Raw genomic sequence first — 22,838 nt, forward strand, 5'->3', positions numbered from 1 at the left:
CATAGATGAAATTGTATCTGAAGACCAGGTGTATTTATGTCTCTTTAGCCATCATAATGTGATCCGAGGCTATGATGTTCAAAATATTGTCGAGCTGAGTGCATATTTCTGAAAAAGAGCAGATTTAGCTATCTTCATATGACAGCCTACGGGAGGACTATAATAAAGAAAAGAAATTAGTTTTATTCTGTGTAAGTCTAGAAGGCAGAAGACACAGAAAGCAAGCGCATACTAACTCAGCAAAGGGAAACCTTTTCTAATCACTAGAGGTGGCTAAAAGTGAAACATTCCCCTTCAGAGGTACTAAGTTCTAACACCAGTAGCATTCAAGCAGGGGTGAATGAGCTTCATTATTGCAAGATGTAAGTAAAAGTTTTATATTATACTGGAGACTGGGCTAAATCACTGGTTTCCAAACGTTGTTACTCAGTCCAGCGCATTGCATTAGAGTTTAGTTAAAAAGTAAATACTGAATCCTCCCCTTCAAGGACTGACCCACACCTTTGTAGGTGAGACTAGGGAAATTGGCATTGAACACATACCCCTGGTGAATCCCTGAACACAATCAGGTTTTCTTCTCACTCCTAAGCAGAGATGACTCCTGAGACCCCCAGCTGACCCAAAGCTTTTCCTGTTATTGATTATACGATCAGGAGTATATAAACGCTATATACCACATGACTCACCCCTCCTTTATTTCATGTGTCAACTCTTTGGGTCTCAGAGTCCCCCTGTTAAGGAGCTAAATATAGTCACATAGAGATAAACTGTATTTTAAAATACATGTGTGAAATGTTGTTACAGGATTCATAATGTCCTAATGAAAATGTTAATTCCTAAAAATTGGAAATGCTAGGCATAATTTTTAAACATGTAGAGCATGGAACTCACAGAAGAGATAGATACTCAGCTCAGCAGAGACAAGACCATACCTGCATAATTTCCTAGTACTTTGTCCAATGTGTAGCACAGAAATGTTGTCCAATAAATGTATGTTGAATGCATTAATAATTTAAAAGGTTGCCATGACATCCAATTTTTCTGGATAACTGAAGGAAAAAATGAGCTTCTAAAGTGCAAAATGAGCTTATAGACTGGGCGCGGTGGCTCACGCCTGTAATCCCAGCACTTTGGGAGGCTGAGGCGGGTGGATCATTTGAGGCGAGGAGTTCAAGACCAGCCTGGTCAACATGGTGAAACCCCTTCTCTACTAAAAATACAAAAATTAGTTGGGCAGTATTGGCATACACCTGTAGTCCCAGCTACTCGGGAGGCGAAGGCAGGAGAATCACTTGAGCCTGGGAAGCAGAGGTTGCGGTGAGCCGAGACTGGGCCACTGTACTCCAGTCTGGGCAAGAGAGTGAGTCCTTGCCTTAAAAAAAAAAAAAAAAAAAAAAAAAAAAAAAAGAAAAAAGAAAAGAAAAAAAGCAAACAGAAAAACTTATATTCATATAGCAAATAAGTGTGGGACTGACAAAAATAATGTGTTAATCACATTTAGCATATTAAAGAGTATGTAGCTTTGAAAAAACCCCATGTTCATTTAGCCTCTTGATTGATTTGTGTCTAGCCTCATTTTACAAAGGCTTTGTGGTAGCTGTACTAAATTACCCAATGTAATGATAAAATGAGCTATCACCTATTTTTTAGCCTTTCACCAGAAGGTCAAGGTGTCATTTAAAATTATATTGCTGGTCTCTCACTTAGCCTTTGGCTGAGGTTGTCTGGCTCACTACGATAAAGGAAAGGACCAACCAATTATTTTCTTCCTACCAAAAACAGATTCAAGTTCTTATTAAATACTATGTTTCAATATGTTTAGTTCTGGCAGGCTTAACAACTGGTTTCTTTTTTATGAAGACAAAAAAAAATGTGGTCCTAGATTAAATGTCTGAAATAGTGCAAGGCTTTTAAAAGAAAAAAAGAAACACACATTAGAAGAAGGGACCACAGAGTCTTGACCTTTTATCTCTACTGAAAGGATCATTTAAATTCACTTAATCCTTGTGGTTCACAGAAGTGTAAGAATGTACAATGAAAAGCATGAACACTTTTATCAGTGCGAGGTGGAAAGGAACATGAACAATAAGCACTGGCTCCTTTGAAGTGAGAGGTGAAGAAACACGTCCTATCCCCAACATGGCTAAGAAGTATGAATAGAAATAAATGCTAATACAAGATTTACAAAGATCTTCTGCTTCTCAATTTTTAGAACGCTAAAATACAACTGACAAATGTGTCTCAGAGAAAGATAAAATAGAAAAGAAGAAATAATTATATCAATAATTTACTGTGACGGATCCCTGTTCCCATAATATGCCTAGGGTTTGTCAATAGAAGTCTATGAAAATATAGTAGTCCAGGAAAGTTAACATTATTTTTCAGTACTCTCTTTCTTTAAACAGAAGTTGAGATATCAAAATTGCTTTCACACTGTCAATTGGAGTTTTCTATCTAGAAATATCTTTGGAATTAAGCCAATATTCTTTCGCTTTGGTCTTTCACAATACAAAGCAGTGTTAACCATAATTTGTGGAATTAGAGATTGAAGTTGAAATATGACATTGAAGTGTGAGAAATTTTAAAATTTACATATTACATTTTAGTAAATGTTTAAAATTATCTATCCTATTGCAGAGTTTGACCACTCTAGTTCATAGATTATAACCACAGTACAACACCTAATAATTCCACGATATATGTTGAAAATTCTGTAATATTCTCAAAACTCAATATATTACCTTTAGAACAAAGAGCATTTATCATAATTATTCCATATTCTATAAGCTGATATTATCAGAAAAAAACCATTCTTTTAAATTTTCAAATCAAGGTGCAATTTAAATAAAATGCTCCAAGTTTGATTTGTTTTTCAAATACATACATCTATGTAACCTCCAATCTAATTACGATTGATAATATTTCCATCACCTCAAATGCTTCATACTCCTTCGCAGTTTTCTCTCTGTCTCGCCCACATGACCGTCAGGCAACTATTAATCTGCTTTCTGTCACTATAGATTAGTTTTGCCTGTTCTAAGATTTCATATCAATGAAACTACACAATGTGTATCTTTTTGGATCTGGCTTTTTTTTTTTTTTTTTTTTTTGCTAAGCTTCAGTGTTTTGCTAAAATTTATCCATGCTGTTATATGTATCAGTAATTCATTCCCTTTTATTAAGTAGTATTTCATTGTAATAAGATATCACAATTTATTTGTTCACTCAATTGTTGTATTTGTGTTGTTTCCAGTTTGGGGCTCTTAGGATTAGAGCTGTTATGAACTTTCTTATGTAAGTCTTATTGGCAGTATTTCTTTTGGTTAAACCAATTATGCAATTTTAACTACATGTTTATCTTTTTAATAATTGAAAAGCCATGAATGTGGTATACAGAATTCTCATGCAAGTATAATAATTGGGTATGAAATCATGTTTTGCAAGAGTTATTAAATAAGAACTTTTCCTCTATCAAAACTTTCATTTGGCTTTAGACCATTTTCTTAGAAAAAAATCCCAAATATTTAAAGAATTTGAACATACTACATTTTGTAGTTTTTATTTTCCTATCTTTTAATTCTTGACAAAATTCTATACAATTTTAATATACATTAAAATATAGAATTCATTCATTCAAAGACACACTTAGCGAATGTGCTAACCACACTGCTCACAATGTGGTGAACTTGAGGCGGGAGTGAATCGTACATGTAAATCACAGAGCAGCATATGAGTTTCCATAATACCATGTATGTTTCACAACAGGGAAGGCTGACAGTTTTGCTAAATTCCCATTCCTCTCTGACCGCTGCTCCCTGCTTAACTGTCATCATAGCATTAAGAAGCAAAAATATTTATAAAATTTGAAGAACTGTAGACATTAGCTTGAGAATGTGAGCCACTCACCAGATACTTTTTGTCCTTCTTTAAACATTTCTAATCTATATCTAGGAATAGAGAGTAATTCTAGCACATTGGGTGAACTATATTTGTTTATATTGTTGTATAAGAGAGAGCACACAAAAGATACTGAATATAGGAATTACTCATGTTTTGTTTCTACTCAGGGCTTTAGATTTAAATTCTGTCCCTACAGATGTCTCATTATTTCATTGACCATAAGAGTAAAAACATTACTACTGGCCTCTCAGGAAAGTGGGAGAGAGGATGAAAACTTTTTAATGATTGCTTAAATACAGGTCCCTCAAAAATATTTCCTGAATAGTCACTCTAAATGGAGTACTCAGCAGATGAGCAAGTAGAGTAAAAAATGGTATCAGAATTCCTTCCCGATCTTAAATCCTGTGGGTTTAATGTAAAATGACACTGCATGCAAAGCTGCACTAAACATGCACATTCATAGAGCACAACATTTTCACATGGCTTGCAAGGGTCTTTACAATGGCCTTGACTTTTCTTTTCCATATTCTTTTTAATTCATGAGCTCATATTCTACCTTCCATTTCTTTTAAATGATTCTTAAATCCTTACCTCTGTGACTTCTCACATGCTGTTCCCTCTGCCTAGAATACTTTTTAACCTGGATAACCTTTATTCCTTTTTGAGGACATGTAAAGACTTCATCTTATCCAAGAAACCTTGAGCCTGGGTTAGGTACCACTCTTACGTGCTTTCATATGGCCCCTCTAGTTGCTATTTATTTCACTCTGTTATTGTCTCTTGACATCTTAACATTCCCCACTAAGTGCAAGCTCTGTGAATGCTAGAACCATGTGTGGCTTGATTCCTGTTTTACTCCCAGAGTTTATTGCAGGGTCTGGCATGCAGTGGACATCTTATGAATATTTGTAAGATAATGAATGAATGAGGTTGAATACAGCAATTACTGAGAAAATGGAAAATAACAGGGTACTTAGATGAATTAAAACAGGCTCCCTGAAGTGGGTGAGAGCCTTCATCCTGATTTTAAAGAGAATGAAATCTAATGACTGATGCAGAACAGATTGGTGTATGATATTGTATAAAAAGGAATGTACAAAAGTCATATTCTAGGAACTGCAAGAAGTTTAGCTTGACCAAAAGAGCAGACTCTTTTAGTGAAAAACTAGAGAAATTGAGTTGAAAAATTAAAAATCAGTGGTAGGCAAAACTATGGAGACAGTAAAAAAAATCAGCGGTTGCCAGGTGTTAGCAGGGAAGGGAAGATCAATAGACAAAGCACAGAGAATTTTTAGGGAAGTGAAACTACCCTGTATGACACTATAATGCTGGATACATGTCATTATACATTTGTCCAATCTCATAGAATGTACAATACCAAGAGGGAACCCTAATGTTTACTATGGACTTTAAGTGATAATGATGTGTCAGTAAAGGCTTATCGATTGTAACCAATTACCACTCCGGTGGGCATGTTAATAATGGGAAAAGTTTTGCATGCGTCGGGGCAGGGGAAAGTCTCTGTACCTTCCTCTCAATCTTGCTGTAAACTTAAAACTGCTCTAAAAAAAAATAAGGTCTTTAAAAAAATCAGTGGTGGTTGGTGAAGCATTTGAAGAGCTGAAAGTTAAAGATTTGTATTAAAAGCCCTATCAGTAAGCAGGTTTTTACATGGATGGATATCATGCTGAAAATGATCTTTGAAGAAGAAACACTAATATGTAATCATGTTTGTAAATAAACATACAAATGAAACTATGAGTGTGTACCTGTAGACTGCAGGTCATAAAAGAAGAGACTGAATGGTATTTATACTGCAGAAAGCAGGCAGTTTTTGAGCCCTGTGTCCACGGCTTCCCTCTAGACGGTGGTGTGTGATACCTTAGGGAGCATCCTCAGGCTGCCACTGAGACACTTCACAGCAATACAGTGTCGATTAAATTGGACACTAGTAAGGCATGGGTTAGTGGTCTGGAAAGAAACATTCTGTTCATTCAGTAAGTCTGCTCTCGTTTCATTTTAAGTCTTTAGGATTCGATTAAGTGTTAAGAGCTGCAAAGGGAGAAGTCAGGGTTCTGGTTAGACAATAACCAGGTCATTAATTTTCCATATTTACATATAATGTTCCTCATAATACAAATCTAGCTTCCGAAAGCTCTGAAAATCATCATGTATTTAAGTATCACATTGTGTCTCTTCAGTTTATCCTTTGTGATCAAATAAATCCGGAACAAAAAACGCATGCTCTAATCATTGAATTAAATAGCACACGTATGAAGTGTGTGGCTGTATTGTCTAAATAATTAACCACTACTTAGTGATTATGCTAACCAGTGCATACTGGAATGCATAAGATTAATGAAGCCTTTGGTTACAATTTAAAAGCCTCCCTATCAACGGTTTCTTTCACCGAACTAAAGAAAAAGGATTTTGCAACTTTTACTTACTAGTCTTATATTGGAAACATCTGGATCATATCCAATACTCATGCTTAGAGGCCGCATCAGAGATCAGTATCTAGTGAGCAACATGTACGGTGAAAATCTGAAAGGATAAAAAATGAAGTGCACCAGGGAGGCAGCATGCTATGGTAGAAAAGTGCGCCTCTAGAGACCTAGAAAGCTGATTGTTTATCCCATCTTTGCCACTTGCTGGTTGTGAAAGTTAGGCAAAGTCTTTAATCTCCATCAATCTCAGCTTCCTTGTCTGAAAAGGATGGAGAAAAATGCCTGTCACATAGTGCTTTGTGTAAAGCACATAATATAGTGCTGGGGACAAATCAGGTGCTCAATTGGCATTTACTATTAGTATTGGTGGCAGTTGTAGCATTGTAACTTCTATTATTTTCTCTACTCCCCTTGGGCCAAAATATATAGTGTTACTTACAGTATGCTTGTATAAAATATTCTTACGATGTGTACAATCTGTTAACAAGTCTCTGCATTACGGGTCAAGCAGAATCAAAAAGTTTCAGAGCAAGAGAAAATCAATTAAAACATTTGTATTTACTACTGGCATCACAAAAGAGAAATTTTTCTTCCTGTCTACAGATATTTTCAACTCCTCACTATTTGCTTCTTGCTAAATACAAATGTTCAGAGGCTTGGGAAGGAATCATGGCAAGGTATTAACTCTTCTTTGGGTAGATGAGATTGTTGCCTTCTGCCTTTGGATTGTTTCCCCAAATAATGAGCCAGGATGCTAGAACAGTGCTCACTTAATCCCCAGATGAGCTGATCTCACCCATCCTTAAGGTGATTCTTTTTTCCACCTTATGTTAGTAGTTCAAATGGTTTCCCTGGATCATTGCATTTCCTTCTATCTTTTCAAGGAGTTGGGTGCTGCCCACACCCACCGCTGGCTCCACGGTGAGACTGTCTGCTTTGTATTTCTTTCACTTTGGATATCCTTAGAAAAGTGTCTGCTGCCATGATTTTGCTGGTCAGGATCAAAGCTGCCATAGTTCCAAGCACAAATGTTTATTGAAAGGAAAGGATTGGGGACAGTGAAAAGAGCTTTGGAAACAGACAGATTTAAGGGCAGATCCTTGTTCCACAATATAGAAGCTGCGTGACCATTGATAATTTCCTCAGCATGGGAAACTGGGAGCCTCAGTTTCCCATGCTCAGATAACCATTTTGTAGGGTTGTCAGGAGGAATAACTAAAACAACAAATCCAAAGTACCTAGCATAAGACTATTTTTCTTCCTGTCCCCATAGGTCCAGGTCTCCCTAAAAATCATTCTCAGTTTTTGTTAGCAAAGTCATATAGTTCTTTTCAGCCAAATTATACACCTACACACCTAACACATATGTACAATCATGGAAAGGTAAATAATGCTAAAGTTTTCATCTTTTAAACCAGGTGGAATCCTACAGTAGCATCGCTCTCATGAGTTCTTCTGTCTCCCATTTGAAGTAGTCCTAGAATTAAGGATTTTCTTTCTGTCTCATTAAGGAACACAGTCTAAAACCATGCTCAAATGATAAATCAGAGAAACTGAGTTAGCAGTACACACATACACACTCATACACAGAGACTCTGAGTTCTAGTCCCCAAGCTCAACTAGGAGTGCCCACAACTTACTTTAAAGAGTTTCATCTCCTAACAGTACATTTTAATATAAAAGACCCCTTCCATAATAATGGAAGCAACATAACATAGAGTAAACATTGAGACAGCCACACCTGGATTTAAATCCCAGATTTGTCATTTACTAACTGTGCAACTTTGAGACATAGCTTATAAAGGCCAATACCGCTTTCTCCGTATGTTAAAAGCTGGTAATATCTACCTGTTATTGCAATTAAGTCAGGACTTTATATAACATTTAATACAGTTCCTGGAACATAGGAAGTGCTCAATAACCATAGGTATTTATTATTACTTGTTGGTGTTTTCTGGTAATCAGAATACTAGGAATACTGGTTTCCTTATAAAGTCTCCTGGTCCAGGCGTGGTGGCTCACGCCTGTAATCCCAGCACTTTGGGAGGCCAAGGCCGGCAGATCACGAAGTCAGGAGATCGACATCATCCTGGCTAACACGGTGAAACCCCGTCTCTACTAAAAATATGAAAGATTAGCTGGGCGTGGTGGCGGGTGCCTGTAGTCCCAGCTACTCGGGAGGCTGAGGCAGGAGAATTGCTTGAACCAGGGAGGCAGAGGTTGCAGAGAGCCGAGATCACACCACTGCACTCCAGCCTGGGCGACAGAGCGAGACTCTGTCTCAAAAAAATAATAAAGTAAAATAAAATAAAATGTCTCCTGAATTGTTCATAAATACATATAGAACACATATGCAAATAATCTTAGCCTGCCTTCCCCATGCCTTTTCTAGGACTGAACAAGCACTGACAGTCACATTTACAATGCTTCCAACATGCACTTATTTTAAACTGAAATCTTCCTCCTTGCTCTGTATCTGATGTCAAACAGAGCAAGTGTATTCCTCCTTTCACAGAGAAGCATTTCAAATATCCAGTGGCAGCCTTCACATACCCTTAAGTCTTTCCTCCAGGCTAAAGAGTCTCAGTTCTTTCAATGTAGTCATATTTTGGGGTTTCTAGACATTTCACCACTGGTCATCCTTCTATGCAAGAGTGAGTGACTGAATCTCAGCAGAGTTTAATGTCTAACTTGTTAGGGAAATACTAACTTGGTATTTAAAAAAGACAAACAAACAAAAAACCCATATGGTCATCTAAGAAAAGGAGGATTTAGTGGGGGGAAAAATTCCACCATGCTAATAATACACCATCTTTTATTACAGGAATGGTTTGACAATTTTTTAGAGCTAAGAAGCAAGAGCATTTGAAGCCCAGTGGGCTTGTTTCTGCTGCCCCATCAGGAGGCTTCCAGAAACAAGATTTCTGGTATTCTCTTATCCTAGTTTTTAAAAGACTTTTCTGTCTTCTCATTGTATACCACATAGTTCATTTTTTTTTTCTTTTTAAAAGCATGACAGTGTTTTGCTCTGCTGCCCAGGTTGAAGTGCAGTGGCATTATCATAGCTCACTGCAGCCCTGAGCTCCTGGGCTCAAGTGATTCTCCCACTTCAGCCTCCTGAGTAGCTGGGACAACAGGCAGGCACTGCCATGCCTGGATAACCTTTTTATTTTTGTTTTGTAGAAAGAGGGTCTTGCCATCTTGCCCAGGCTGCTCAAATTCCTGGCCTCAAGAGATCCTCCTGCCTCAGCTTCCCAAAGTGTTGGGATTACAGGCATGAACCACTGCACCTAGCCTCATTTCTTTTTTGATATGACATAATCACTCAATTTTTACAAGTTAATTTTCTAAGCAAGACAACTTCTTAAAAGCAAATTTAAGCTCAACTGAATTAATGTTGTTCATCTTACCTACTCTGGAAATGATTAAATGTAGCCTAACCCTCCTACTGTGGCAAAATTTAATATCCTTGGCTGTGCTATCAACAAGGAGTACATTAATCCCAAATTACTATTACTTCATATACCTAGAGTTATATACTTGAATTAATCAGTTGGTATGTGCCACAATTGCTTTTTTCCTTCATCCACAGATGAAGGACAAACATGTTAGTTTGCACAAGTTAAGTGATACAAATCTTGCATCAGGTTTCCTAAGACTTTCTCATTATTTTACACATTTTAACAAAAAGTAACAGGCTTCTTTTATTCCAAGCACTTGTCATTACTATGCAAACTGATGAAAAAAAAAAGATTGTCAGTTTTCTGATAAATAGACTGATCAACAGAATGTAAGAGTTACTTTTCATGTCCACTTTAACAGGCAAACCACCATTCAGGATGTGTTGAGTGGTTTGATGCTCTCATTACTTCATTCTTCTTTGAGATTTATTTTCATCTAGTGATCGAACTAGAGAGGTTGCTTGAATAAAGCAGATCAATTTTAGACATGATACATGGGAGAACACTCCAGTTCTAGAGACCACCAATCCAGCCTTTATTTTACCACACTGCAATCAAAATGACCCTTATTTTGCTTTCATCATTCAAAGCTTTTAAATAGTTTACACAACTACAACATGTGCTATGTGGATCATGTATTTTTAAATGCTGTTATCACAAGGTGAAACTATAATTTGCCAATTGGCTCTCCACTCTCATTTCTACTATCTTTTTCCTTTTCATCTCTCTAACATTTTTGATATTTAGTGTTTAATCTCTTTTCACATGTTTTTTCTTTTCATTTAGGGAGAGCTTTGGAAGTTTGTCCTCTACATCACTGAGTTGATTCTCCGCAGTGTTGTCTGTTATTCTATTCATGGAAATTTAAGCCTGTTGTTTATTTGTATGGTGGTCTGGCTTATTGAGGCTTGGTCTATTTCACTTCAGACTGCTTCTCAGTCTGCTTTCTCATTTTGATAGGAAGTATTATGAAATAAGTTTTAAATACTTTAAACTTTTGAGACTGAGTGCACGGACTTAAATTCTAGCTATGCCACTTACATTATTTTTCCTCTTAACCAAATTATTAAATTTCTGAAAGCTTTGGCTTTCTCATCTTTACAATGGATATGCTACTAGTATTTATCCAAGGGCTGTTATAAACATTAAATGAGATCATCCACCTATTATACTTAGCATAGTGTCTGACACATAATAGCAATACAAAAAAAGATTGCCATGAATACAAATAAACCTCCATCCTCATCTCGTAGAGCAAATGTCTTTTTTAACCTCACTGTAAAAAATACAATGGACATTTCCTAAAATGCTCTGCCATTTCCTGTAATGAATAATTTTGTGAGCTTTGCAATTTTTTTCAGGTCTTTAAGATACTATTTCTCTCCCTTTTTATTATGTCTACATTGCCTTTCCCCATCCTCTCTCATCCTTAAATGATGAATACACTTTTTGAAACTCTGAGATATACTATAGTTATTTTCTTCCAGCTATAGAAAAAAAGTATACCTATTCACTTCTCCTTATAAGATTGTTAAAGGATTTTCTATTGTACATGTGTACAAGTTCATTTCTTTAGGATGTTAGGAGGACTATTAAGAATTCACTATTAGCCTGCCTCTGTTAGATTAATCTAGAAATAATTTCCATGATTACCAAAGTGCCTTAAGTTTACCTTCAGAGAATCTGAGTATTCCTTTTTTAAAAAATACTAATACGAATGCTTTCCACTACAGTGAAGTTACAGGAAATTATATTCATATTTCCAATAAGCTATATCAGTGAAATCAAATGAGTTTGTCAAAACTGTGCTGATCAAATAAAATCTTCCTTTGATATTATACTGGTTGATCATTCCTAATCTGAAAATTCGAAATCCAAAAGGTTCCAAAATCTGAAAAATTTCAAGCAAGAACATTATGCCACAAGTGGAAAGTCTGGCATCTGCCCTCAAGGGACAGGTTACAACAAAGGTCCACAACACAGTTTATTCCGCATCCCCTAAGGAAAAAAAGATCCTCCCAGGCTCATTCATTTGGTGATGCCACTGTGCTGCTTAGTTACCCTGAATACATTATCTTTTCACTGTATTTATGGCATGTCATGTTTTTCACCATTAGGAACTTATGTGTCGGTACGTTTAAGAAAATAATTGCTTATATACTATCCTGATAGATACTTATTTATCCTGATTGTATTAGCCTGTTCTCACACTGTTAATAAAGATATACCCCAAACTGGGTAATTTACAAAGGAAAGAGGTTTAATTGACTCACAGTTCAGCATGGCTTGGGAGGCCTCAGGAAACTTATAATCATGGCAGAAGGGGAAGCCAACACGTCCTTTTTCACGTGGCAGTGCGAGAGAGAAGTGTCAAACAAAGCGGAGGGAAAGCCCCTTACAAAACCATCAGATCTCGTGAGAACTCACTATCAGAAGAACAGCATGAGGGTAACCACCCCATGATTCAATTACCTCCCACTGGGTCACTCCCACAATTACGGGAACTACAATTCAAGATGAAATTTGGGTGGGAACACAGCCAAACCATATCACTGACAGTATATAACTTTAACTTTACATACAATATACTTTTACCTTTATATACTATTTAGAGTCAGAAATGATGGTGATAAACAATCACAGATTGTCCACGTGGGTGACTGAGAGTGACACCTTTGCTTTCTGATGGCTCACTGTACACAAACTTTGCTGCTGTTGTTGTTTTGAATCAGGGTCTCACTCTGTCACCCAGGCTGGAGTGTAGTGGCATGATCTTGGCTCAATGCAATCTCTGCCTTGCGGGCTCAAACAATCCTCCCACCTCAGCTTCCTGAGTAATTGGGACTACATGCCACATGCTCAGCTAATTTAAATTTTGTGTAGTGATAAGGTCTCACTGTATTACCCAAGCTGGTCTCGAACTCTTGGGCTCAAGCCATCCTCCTGCCTCGGCCTCCCAAAGTGCTGGGATTACTAGTGTGAGCCACCACATCTGTCCACAAACTTTGTTTCATGCACAAAACTATTTAAAATATTGTATGAAATTACCTTCAGGCTATGTATGTAAGGTGTATATAAGACAAATAAATTCCATGTTTAGATGTGGGTTCCATCCTTAAGACATCGCATTATGTATATGCAGATATTCTAAAATACAAAAAATTCCAAGATCTCAAATACTTCTAGGCCCAAGCATTCAGGATAAGGTGTACTCAACCTGCTTATTGGGTTCATCCTTGCATTTGAAGTCTTATTTTGTATTTTCCTACTTTACTTGGCAATTGTGTAACAAGGTTCCTCATATAACATTAAGTCAGTATCTTGTGGCTTGTTTTTATAATCATATATAACACTTTGGCATCTATTTGTGAAATTTCTTGTCTTTAGTTTGAAAGTCAAAAGACCCTCCAACCATAAAAAGTGAGTACCAAGAAACTTTCAAAACTTAAAAAATATCCATATAACTTTTATATCAAAATAAAATTCAGAAAATTAGGCCACATGGAAACAAAATAATGTAAGTCCCCCATTTGAGAAGAGAAACTATGAAATAAAAACCATGAATTTCTCTCTAAGCAAGAAATTAATTTTAGTTAAATAGAAATTATGAAGCAAATCACTTGGACCTAAAATTATTTTATTTATCTACTGTGCTATAAATTGTTTTCTCATACTGAGAAAAAGCCAAGCAATCAGTAATTTGTATGACCCGCCAAGCTAAGCAAATAACAGATTTATTTTGCTATGTAATGAGGTTGATAGAACAGTTTCAAGTCAGATTACATTTGACTATGCTCTGTTTCTATTACATTTGCCACTTAATGGTAGGAGATAGAGATTCTCCTCTTGATAGACTGTTTTCCTCTCCAATCTGTGTTTGCCCATTGGAATTGTTATGAAACATGTTGTGGATGTTTGTGAAAAGCATGGTCAGTGTAGGAGATAGTTCACATACTATGCTTATTAATCAATTCAGATAAGACTCAAATTAAAATGAATTTGGAAGCTTCTTGTTTATCTTCTTCCTAAAACTAAGTTCTTTATTTTTCAGCTCCACAAAAACCTTAAGAAAATATGTGGTGTTTGAGAGAGAGGCTCAACCTGCTAACTCTCATCTTTTAAGGTTTTAGTAAAAGTCCATCTGACAGTGTTTAAACCTGAAACATAATTTAAAACTTTGTTTCTTCTAGTCAATTCTTCTCAACCACTTTGAACAAATCAGTATACCTACCATATATATTGGCAATTTTCTGTTTGATCAAAGATTGAAGATATCTGACTGTTAGGATATATATTGCTTGTGATGGAATAAACAAAAAACATGATTATGAATTGAGTTGAATTTACCCTAAAGTCATATCACCAAATTGAGGTTTATCATTTCTCATCGTGACACTTTTCAACAGTTCTCTGACACCTTTGTATAGATTCAACTTCTCTTAAATACACTCTGTCAAATGGGCATAATTTTTACTTAAGCAAATGGAAAAAATACTTAAAAGTAATATATTAAATTTAAATAAATTTAGTATAGTAAGTGTGTTACATTTACATATAATTTAAATATATGAAAGTATATTATAAATAAAATATTAAATTTTAATATAAATATCTAAAAAGTAATCCATGAAGTCTACAATATATTTTGTTTCTATAACATTGAAATGTGGAGACTGATAAAAATCCATGTTGTCATTTCTTCAGTTTTTCCATTATAAAAATTTTACAGTAAGAAAGACTGAACATTAATTATAAATTAGAATATAAAATCAAAGGTTAAATCTATTTTCACCTAACGATATCAATATCTGGGGCCTTCATTAGTATGTTCACTATATAAACATCTGGTTGGTTTGATCAGACTCTGTGATTTTGACTGTAAACAAGATTCCAGGAGGTGAATTATTACACTGGGTACATTTGGCATGGGGTTGGGAAAATTTGAGAGATTTGGTTAATAAAATATTGTTTTGTTCAAAATGTGGAAAGGAAATGCAGATCATATTTGTAATAAAATGTAAGGTAGAGTACATGTGGGACCACAGTTTTTAAATACATTTGATGATGATTTTCTTTCTTTTGCTCTTCAGAAGCCAAGGGATACATAATTCATGTTTGGAATCTTACGTAGGGTGTAGGAACACTAAGTTCACAGAAAAGGTGGTATTTGTGCTAAGAATTTCTCTAATCCAGGTTAGTTAATAGGAATCAAAACAAGCTCACCCTGCCTTTTTCCTTTTCTTTCTTCCTTTTCTTCCTTCCTTACTTTCCTCCTTCCTTCCTTCATAAACTTTACTTTTTTGGAAACTGGCCTTGGCCTCATACGGGTTAATAAAATGTCAATTTACAAACAGCTATACTTGTTTATTCTCCCAAACACTTCCAGTTAAAAGGCTTTCTTATAATCACGTTTTCACTTTTCCTTAAACCATACTAAATTTTATCATTTCCAATCCCCTGCAACCTTTGAGGAGAACTAACTTTTTGGAATTTCCCTAAGGTTTCAATGAGCAACAAATGTCTTCAGGAGAATATGATGCATCATATCTATTTAGGATGTGCCAGGATTCTCCTGCTGATGAATTCTCATAATTCTAGACAAAGTTAATAGAAGAAGGGAACTCCCCTTGAGAAAGGAATAAATGGTGGAGAGTGATCTGAACACAAATGGTACAGTTCAGTGCAATTATGTCTAGAGTTCTCTACTGGATATCAAGTACAACTGTCATTTGGTATTTCAAAAACATTCACAGTACACATGGTTGGTCTAATGGGAAATACATTATTCATTTGCCAAAGTTTGATTACTATTTGAAATCATTTTCCACAAATCACTTATGTGAATTGTAGAAAAAGGTATGCAGGAGAGCAAGGTATACATGCCAGATTAATTTTCCATTAAAAATAATTTATGCTTCTCTTGTGACTTAAGTAATAACTTCTAAGAGCTGTAATGTATAAAACATTACAAGCAAGAGTAAGGATTCCTAATACTTCTTGATTTACTTAATTGAAAGTTCTTTTTATCTTGTTTATAGTCACTAAATAGAATAATGTCTCATGTTACTTAACTTTGAAATGAGGATAATACTAGCACCTTCCTCACTGGTTAGTTATAAAGATTAAGTGACTTAATACATGTGAAATAATTAGAACAATGATAGAGATTAGCCCCCCAATAAATAAAAGTTATAAAAATATTATCTGCTATGGTCATTAAAGCTGTTAATAAATATTCCATTTCTTTCTTCTTTCCAGACAAGATGATTGCTCTTCCCCACCCCTTTCATGTGGGGTGATTAGATTTGGAGGTAGAAAGGAAGCATCTATTATAAATTCCAGGAGCATTTATTGGATGACTAGGTAGATAAAACTGGTCAACAAAGAGCTGAAGAAATGATAAATTCAATTTTGGACACAGAGTGTTTGTGAGTATTTGTGAACAATTGGGTGGAATTGTCTGCTATGCAGTTGGTTAAATAAGTCTGGGGCTAGAGGCAGATTTGGAGTCACCAGTTTATAAGTGACTGTTGAGTCATGGGTTAAAAGAATCACCCAAGAAGAGTTTGTGGAGAAATCTTGATGAGTAATGTATGAGGAATAATGTTGGAAGATTTTCAAAACTTGGGAGGTAACTAAGCAAGGGTGAGAAAGAAGACTGAAAAGGCATGGCCAAAGTTAGAAAGAAATGCAGAAGTAAGTGACATCATAGAAGTCAGTACAGAAAATAAAGTTTAAAAAAAATCCCAGAGCCAAAGAAAATATTGAGTTACTGCCTAGGAAAATAGTAGCTTTCAATGAATATGTATAGTGTTCAATTTATTCTTGCAAAAGTTTATATTTCTTAATTTCATCTGTAAGAAGACAGTGTCTGTTTTGAATATGTTACCATTTAAAGTGCATAACCCCCTGGCTGGATTACAATTCCAAGTTGTATCTAGTTGTAGAAGCAGACTGTAACACAAGTAAGAGGGTTAAAGAAAGAAATTAATATTAATGGTGCAGGTTTTGTGGCAAACATTTTGAGATTGAACGTGTGAAGTTTCAGAATTTCTCATCTGCTATCTAAAGAGGCTAAATCATTTTGCGTTGAATGGATACAGATACAGTTTTTCATCTTCATAACTCTGACTGTAAAGATAATATGACTGTTCTAGATACAACAGTGGTTGTCCATGAACTAATGCTCCAAAAAGCACTTCCCTATAGATATGAATCACAAGCCAATTGCTTCAAATATGAGGAGTGTGGTAAAACAAATGCATAAACTCTGCATTTCTGATGCTATTTTTAAAAGTAATTTATCACTTGTGTTTTGTTACCTGAAACTTAGTTTATATACCATGCCACCATGGGTTTATTGATTTGGTCTTTTTCTCACATTAAATGGAATATGTGATATTCAAGATACACACACACATACACACACAAACACACACACACACACTTTTCTTCAATGAACAGCTTAGAACTAGAGGAACAAAATTAGTTAATTAAAGAATACCATATGTAAAAATCAACTCGTTAGATTAAAGGCTTAAATGTAAAACCTGAAACTATCAAAACCCTGGAAGATAACCTAGGAAATACCACTGTGGACATAGGCCCTGGCAAAGATTTCACGACAAAGATGCCAAAAGCAATTGCAACAGAAACAAAAATTGACAAATAGGACCTAATTAAACTAAAGAGCTTCTGCATATCAGATCCATCAACAGAGTAAACAGACAACCTACAGAATGGGAGAAATATGTGCAAACTATGTATCTGACAAAGGTCTAATATTCAAAATGTATAAGGAACTTAAACAAATTACAACAAAAAACCAAGCAACCCCATTAAAAAGTGAGCAAAAAACAGGAACAGACACTTTCCAAAAGGAGATATACATGTGGCCAAGAAGCATATGAAAAAATGCGCAACATCACTAATCATTAGAGAAATGCAGATCAAAATCACAGTATGATACCATCTCACACCAGTCAGGATGACTATTATAAAGCAGTAAAAAAATAACACGCTAGTGAAGTTGTGGAGAAAAGGGAACACTTACACGCTGTTGGTACAAGGGTAAAATAGTTCAAGCATTGTGGAAAGCAGTTTGAAGATTTCTCAAAAAACTTAAAATGGAACTGCCATTCCACCCAGCAATCCCGTTATTGGGTAAATACACAAAGGTATAGAGACACATGCATGCACATGTTCATCACAGCACTATTCACAACAGCAAGGAAATTGAGTCAACCTAAATGCCCATTAACAGTAAACTGGATAAGGAAAAGTTAGTATATATACACCGTGGAATACTATGCAGCCATGAAAAACAAGAAGATCATGTCTTGGCTGCAACATGGAAGGAGCAGGAGGCCATTATTCTTTTTTTTTTTTTTTTTTCTGAAACGGAGTTTTACTCTGTTGCCCAGGCTGGAGTGCAATGGCATGACCTTGGCTCACTGCAACCTCTGAGGAGGCCATTATTCTAAGTGAACAAATACAGGAACAGAAAAACAAATACTGCAGGTTCTCACTTGTAAGGGGGAGCTAAACACTGAGTACATGTGGACAGAAAGAAGGGAACAACAGACACTGGGGCCTACTTGAGGGTAGAGGGTGAGCGGAGGGTATATTTACACCACAGAAATTGGCAAACACTGTAAATTGGAGTTTCCTTTCCTTTTTGGGGGAAGAACTGGTTTACCAGTTAATATAGTTTGGCTCTGTGTTCCCATCCAAATCTTATCTTGAATTGTAATCCCCACATATCAATGGAGGGACCTGATGGGAGATGATTGGATCATGAGGGTGGTCCCCCATTGCTGTTCTCATGATAGTGAGTGAGTTCTCACAAGATCTGATGGTTTATAAGGGGCTCTTCCCCCTTCACTCTCTCTTCTCTCTCCTGCTGCCATTTGAAGAAGGTCCTTGTTTCCTCTTTGCCTTGTGCCATGGTTGTAATTTTCCTGAGGCTTCCCCAGCCATGTGGAACTGTGAGTCAAGTAAACCTCTTTCCTTTATAAATTACCCAGTCTCAGGTATTTCTTTATAGCAGTGTGAAAATTGACTAATATACCAGTGCACCACTGCTTTTAATTCCAGGGTAAATCTAAAGCCAGATAACCACTGATTTTCTCCTTATTAAATGTATATAAGGACTGCTCAAGTGATGCTGACAAACTTTCCTTCAGTGGACTGAGAAGAAGCTGATTCCAGTGGACTGTGAAGAAGCTGATTCTCATTTTGTTTGCAAACCTGGTGTTTGGGTACATCGTTTTGTGTCATGTAGGCCAATATTTTCTGGGAGAACTGTGAAAGAAACTAGAAACAGATAATTTTATATTTTTCCTATGAAAAAATAGCTGACTGGATTAACGTCCTTTTGACTTAACATTTCCAGGCAACAAAGAGTGACTGGAAATGAACTTTTCTAAAGCAAATTCTTATAAAGATGCCTTAAACTGTTTGTTCCTAGTTTTTAACAAATGACAGTTTCCTGCTTTCATTGTCTTTGACAAATACACTGCCAATCACAGCAAGACTGTCCATCAATTTTCTCAAATGGGCAACAAGCACAACTAGCTGAGTTCTAGTGGAAACTTACCATAGAGTAGCTATGTGATATTGAAAACCTGAAGTTTCTAGTTTTTATATTAAATGGAGTAAATGGTATCTCAAGCATCATGCCCATTTATCAAAAATTAATATTCTGGTTAGGAGTCATTTAGTAAATGATATGGTTTGGCTGTGTCCCCCCCCAAATCTCAACTTTAATTGTATCTCCCAGAATTCCCATGTGTTATGGGAGGGATCTGGGGGAGGTAACTGAATTATGGAGGCAGGTCTTTCCTGTGCTATTCTTGTGATAGTGAGTAAGTCTCATGAGATCCGAAAAGTTTATCAGGGGTTTCTGTTTTTGCTTCTTCCTCATTTTCTCTTGCCACCATCATATAAGAAGTGCCTTTCACCCCCCGCCATGATTCCGAGACCTTCCCAGCTATGTGCAACTGTAAGTCCAATTAAACCTCTTTTTGTTCCCAGTTTCGGTTATGTCTTTATCAGCAGTGTGAAAACAGACTAATACAGTGAACTATATGAGAAACTTAGTACTTTGAAGTCACATTAAGAAATTTAAATTTTTATAAATACACACAAAACCAATATATTTGTATCTATACTGAATAAATAACCCCTGTCCTTACATAATTTATATTAACTTTGGGAAGCAAAATTAATGAACACAAAACAATTAGCCAACAGTGTAATCCAATCACATTTAAATTATCGACTCCTATATTCAAACTGGAGATCTGTCTAAGAGGGAAATGTGGAGAACAGAAGATAGCTTGGCAAAGGTAGTGAAACTGCAGCCAGCCCTGAAACAATGCATAGGACTGTTTTTGGTTTTTGTTTTTCTCCTTTGAAGGTCTAGGGTAGGGCATTAGAAATGGGAAAATAGCAGTAAGGGAAAAAAAAGAACACCGTGTGAATACAACAGACTCAGGTCAACAGGACTGTGAGTCAACAGGCCTTGGTGTGGAGGTACCCTGGAGAGCAATGGGAATGACTTGGCCCTCCAGAAGTACATTTCAGCCTCCTTTGTACTGAATTCTCACTTCTAGCTCTGGAATCTACATTGTGAAACTATCAAAGAAACTAACAACTACTAAAACCCCCACCTGTATCTGAATGCAGCTGGGTTTACCTCAAGAGCCACACCCTTAACTTAATTAGGGGAATAGGAACCTAAATGTTTTGAGGACTGTTAGTGAATAAGATATCAATATTAAAGAATAAATTAGCAAAGAATAAAAGAACCACCCATTAGACCAAGGGAAGGGAAAAAAATGAAGAAAGGATGATGGCAGATAGTTTTTAAAAATTATATACCAAATCACTGAGGTTTTCTAAAATTTAACATTTAATTGGTGATGTGTTATTAACAAAAATTCCTTAAAATATGCCTGAAAGGTGAATCTGTGACTATACTTATTGGATATGCCTAAATATGATTTTTAGTGTAATTATAACTTCTGACTCTAAAACATTGCTAAGTTGTGCCAGACACTACTTGAAACTTCACACTTAACACTCATTCTAAAAGTAACAATAATACCTATAGGCACTGATTCCCAAATAAACATTATTATTTCTCTACTTAGAAATTCTTATGATTCAAATACAAATAGTTTAACAGATTGTATTTTATGTGTATGTGTTTTCATGACAAAAGCAACTACACTTAAATGTGCAAAAACTCTACTCTGGGTGATTTGCATTCTTATATCTCATTATAGAGTTTCCTATTTGAATTTCCATCTGGTCCCTAATATCTTTTTGTGTTTATTGCTTTAATGAGATAATCTTGTTTTACATACCTAGATTTCATTACTATTTGGCAAAAACATTCTCTACCCTGATTTTACTCTCATAAATACCTTAGCCTTAACCTTGGGGCTTAGTGCAGTCTGGTATGAGATACTTCTAAAATAGTAAAATGGAAAGAAAAAGCATTCAAAGTAAAATGTAAGTAAAGGTTAGTCCTTTATCTCTTAAAATCATAACAGATAGACTGTTTCCCTTTATAAGATTAATCTATATCCACCCATATAATGCCTCATTGAAGATTTACCATGATAAAGTAATATATTGGTATATCTTACATTAAAGCAGAATTTGGAAGAATTAAACAGATTCCATGAAGATTTTCCACTGATGGGGACTGACAAGGCTTAAAGTTGATAATTCAGTTCTTATTTAACAGTCATAAATGTTATCTTCAATCTGTGCTATCAACTAAAATTTTCTTCATTCGAATGCATTCATATTCATGCAGCTTCCTTTGAAAAGACTGAAAACCATTCCTAAAACTCAGACAGGAAGAGCTCAATGAAAAGAAATTATGACCTATATCCACTTTAAGATTTATTCAACTGATAAGCTCACTTCACTATAGGTTTAGGTTGCCAATAAAATTCTCTCTAATTCTGAAGCCATCATCTTTCAAGAATAATTCAGAGCCTTTTCTGATTTCTCAGCATGACAGAGTAAATTGGCAAAGCACAGTAAATGATAAGGTATTTACTTATTTGTTTATATTAGTGAACACACAGTGTTTATTGTATCCCAGGCATTCTTCTAAGTATTTTACACATGTTAATTCATTTCATTCTAGATATCATATAGTCCCCTTGGGACTTAATGGGAGAATATGTTTCAAAAAAGAAGTGTAATGAAGTGTCTGTAAATACAAGCTCTCTATATTTTGCTAAGTGCATCTTTAATAACACTAACAATAACTGCTACTTATTGAATGCCTCCTAAGTGGTAAGCTCACCCTCACATCAACCCTTTAAGATAGGTATCAATAACTCCATTTCATGAATGAGTAACCCCTAAGTCTCATAAATAGTAATTATCAGAGGCAAATGTCAAGGATTCCAAACACTTTGACTCTAATACTCATTTTTTAAAGTACCTTATAAGACATTTTTCTCTTCTTAGTTCCTATATTCTACTTTTCTTAATATTACTCAGTCAAACTCCTTCATATAATAAATACCCTTCCAATCTGTCTCCTTCTCTCCATCCCCGCTATTAGCCCACTAGCTATGCTCTCATCATGCCTCACTTGTACTTCTGCAAAAGATTCTTAACTCTCCCTCTTTCAGTCCACTCTCCACACTTCCAATGAATTGATCTATAGAAAACATAAATCTGATTATATTACTACCTGTTTAAAATGCCTCACTGCTTTCAAAATAAAATCTGACGTCTTAACTATGTCATACAAAGCCTCTAATGAGATAGAGCTCATGGCCAGTGCAGCTTCATTTCTCCCAACAATACCCCAGGCCTCCCTGTCCCCACCTGCAACATACACACCCCCACCCCCACTCCACACACACCTCCCTCAGGCTTCAACTAGATAAACTGTTATTTTGCTTCCTCTGTGCCTCTGCAAATTATCATCTCTCTAAGGAAATGCCCTTTATCTCCTTCTTTTCTAAGCTTCTACATATCCCTCAATACTTAC

At 35.8% G+C, this 22,838-nt stretch overlaps 1 protein-coding gene across 14 annotated transcripts in view; it reads right to left on the reverse strand.

Moving 5' to 3' along the window:
* Positions 1 to 22,838, reverse strand: part of MAGI2 (membrane associated guanylate kinase, WW and PDZ domain containing 2) — a 1,436,613-nt gene that overhangs the window by 669,540 nt on the left and 744,235 nt on the right. The window lies entirely within an intron of this gene.

This window comes from Homo sapiens, chromosome 7 (assembly GCF_000001405.40).
Source record: "Homo sapiens chromosome 7, GRCh38.p14 Primary Assembly".
Taxonomy (NCBI): Eukaryota; Metazoa; Chordata; class Mammalia; order Primates; family Hominidae; genus Homo; species Homo sapiens.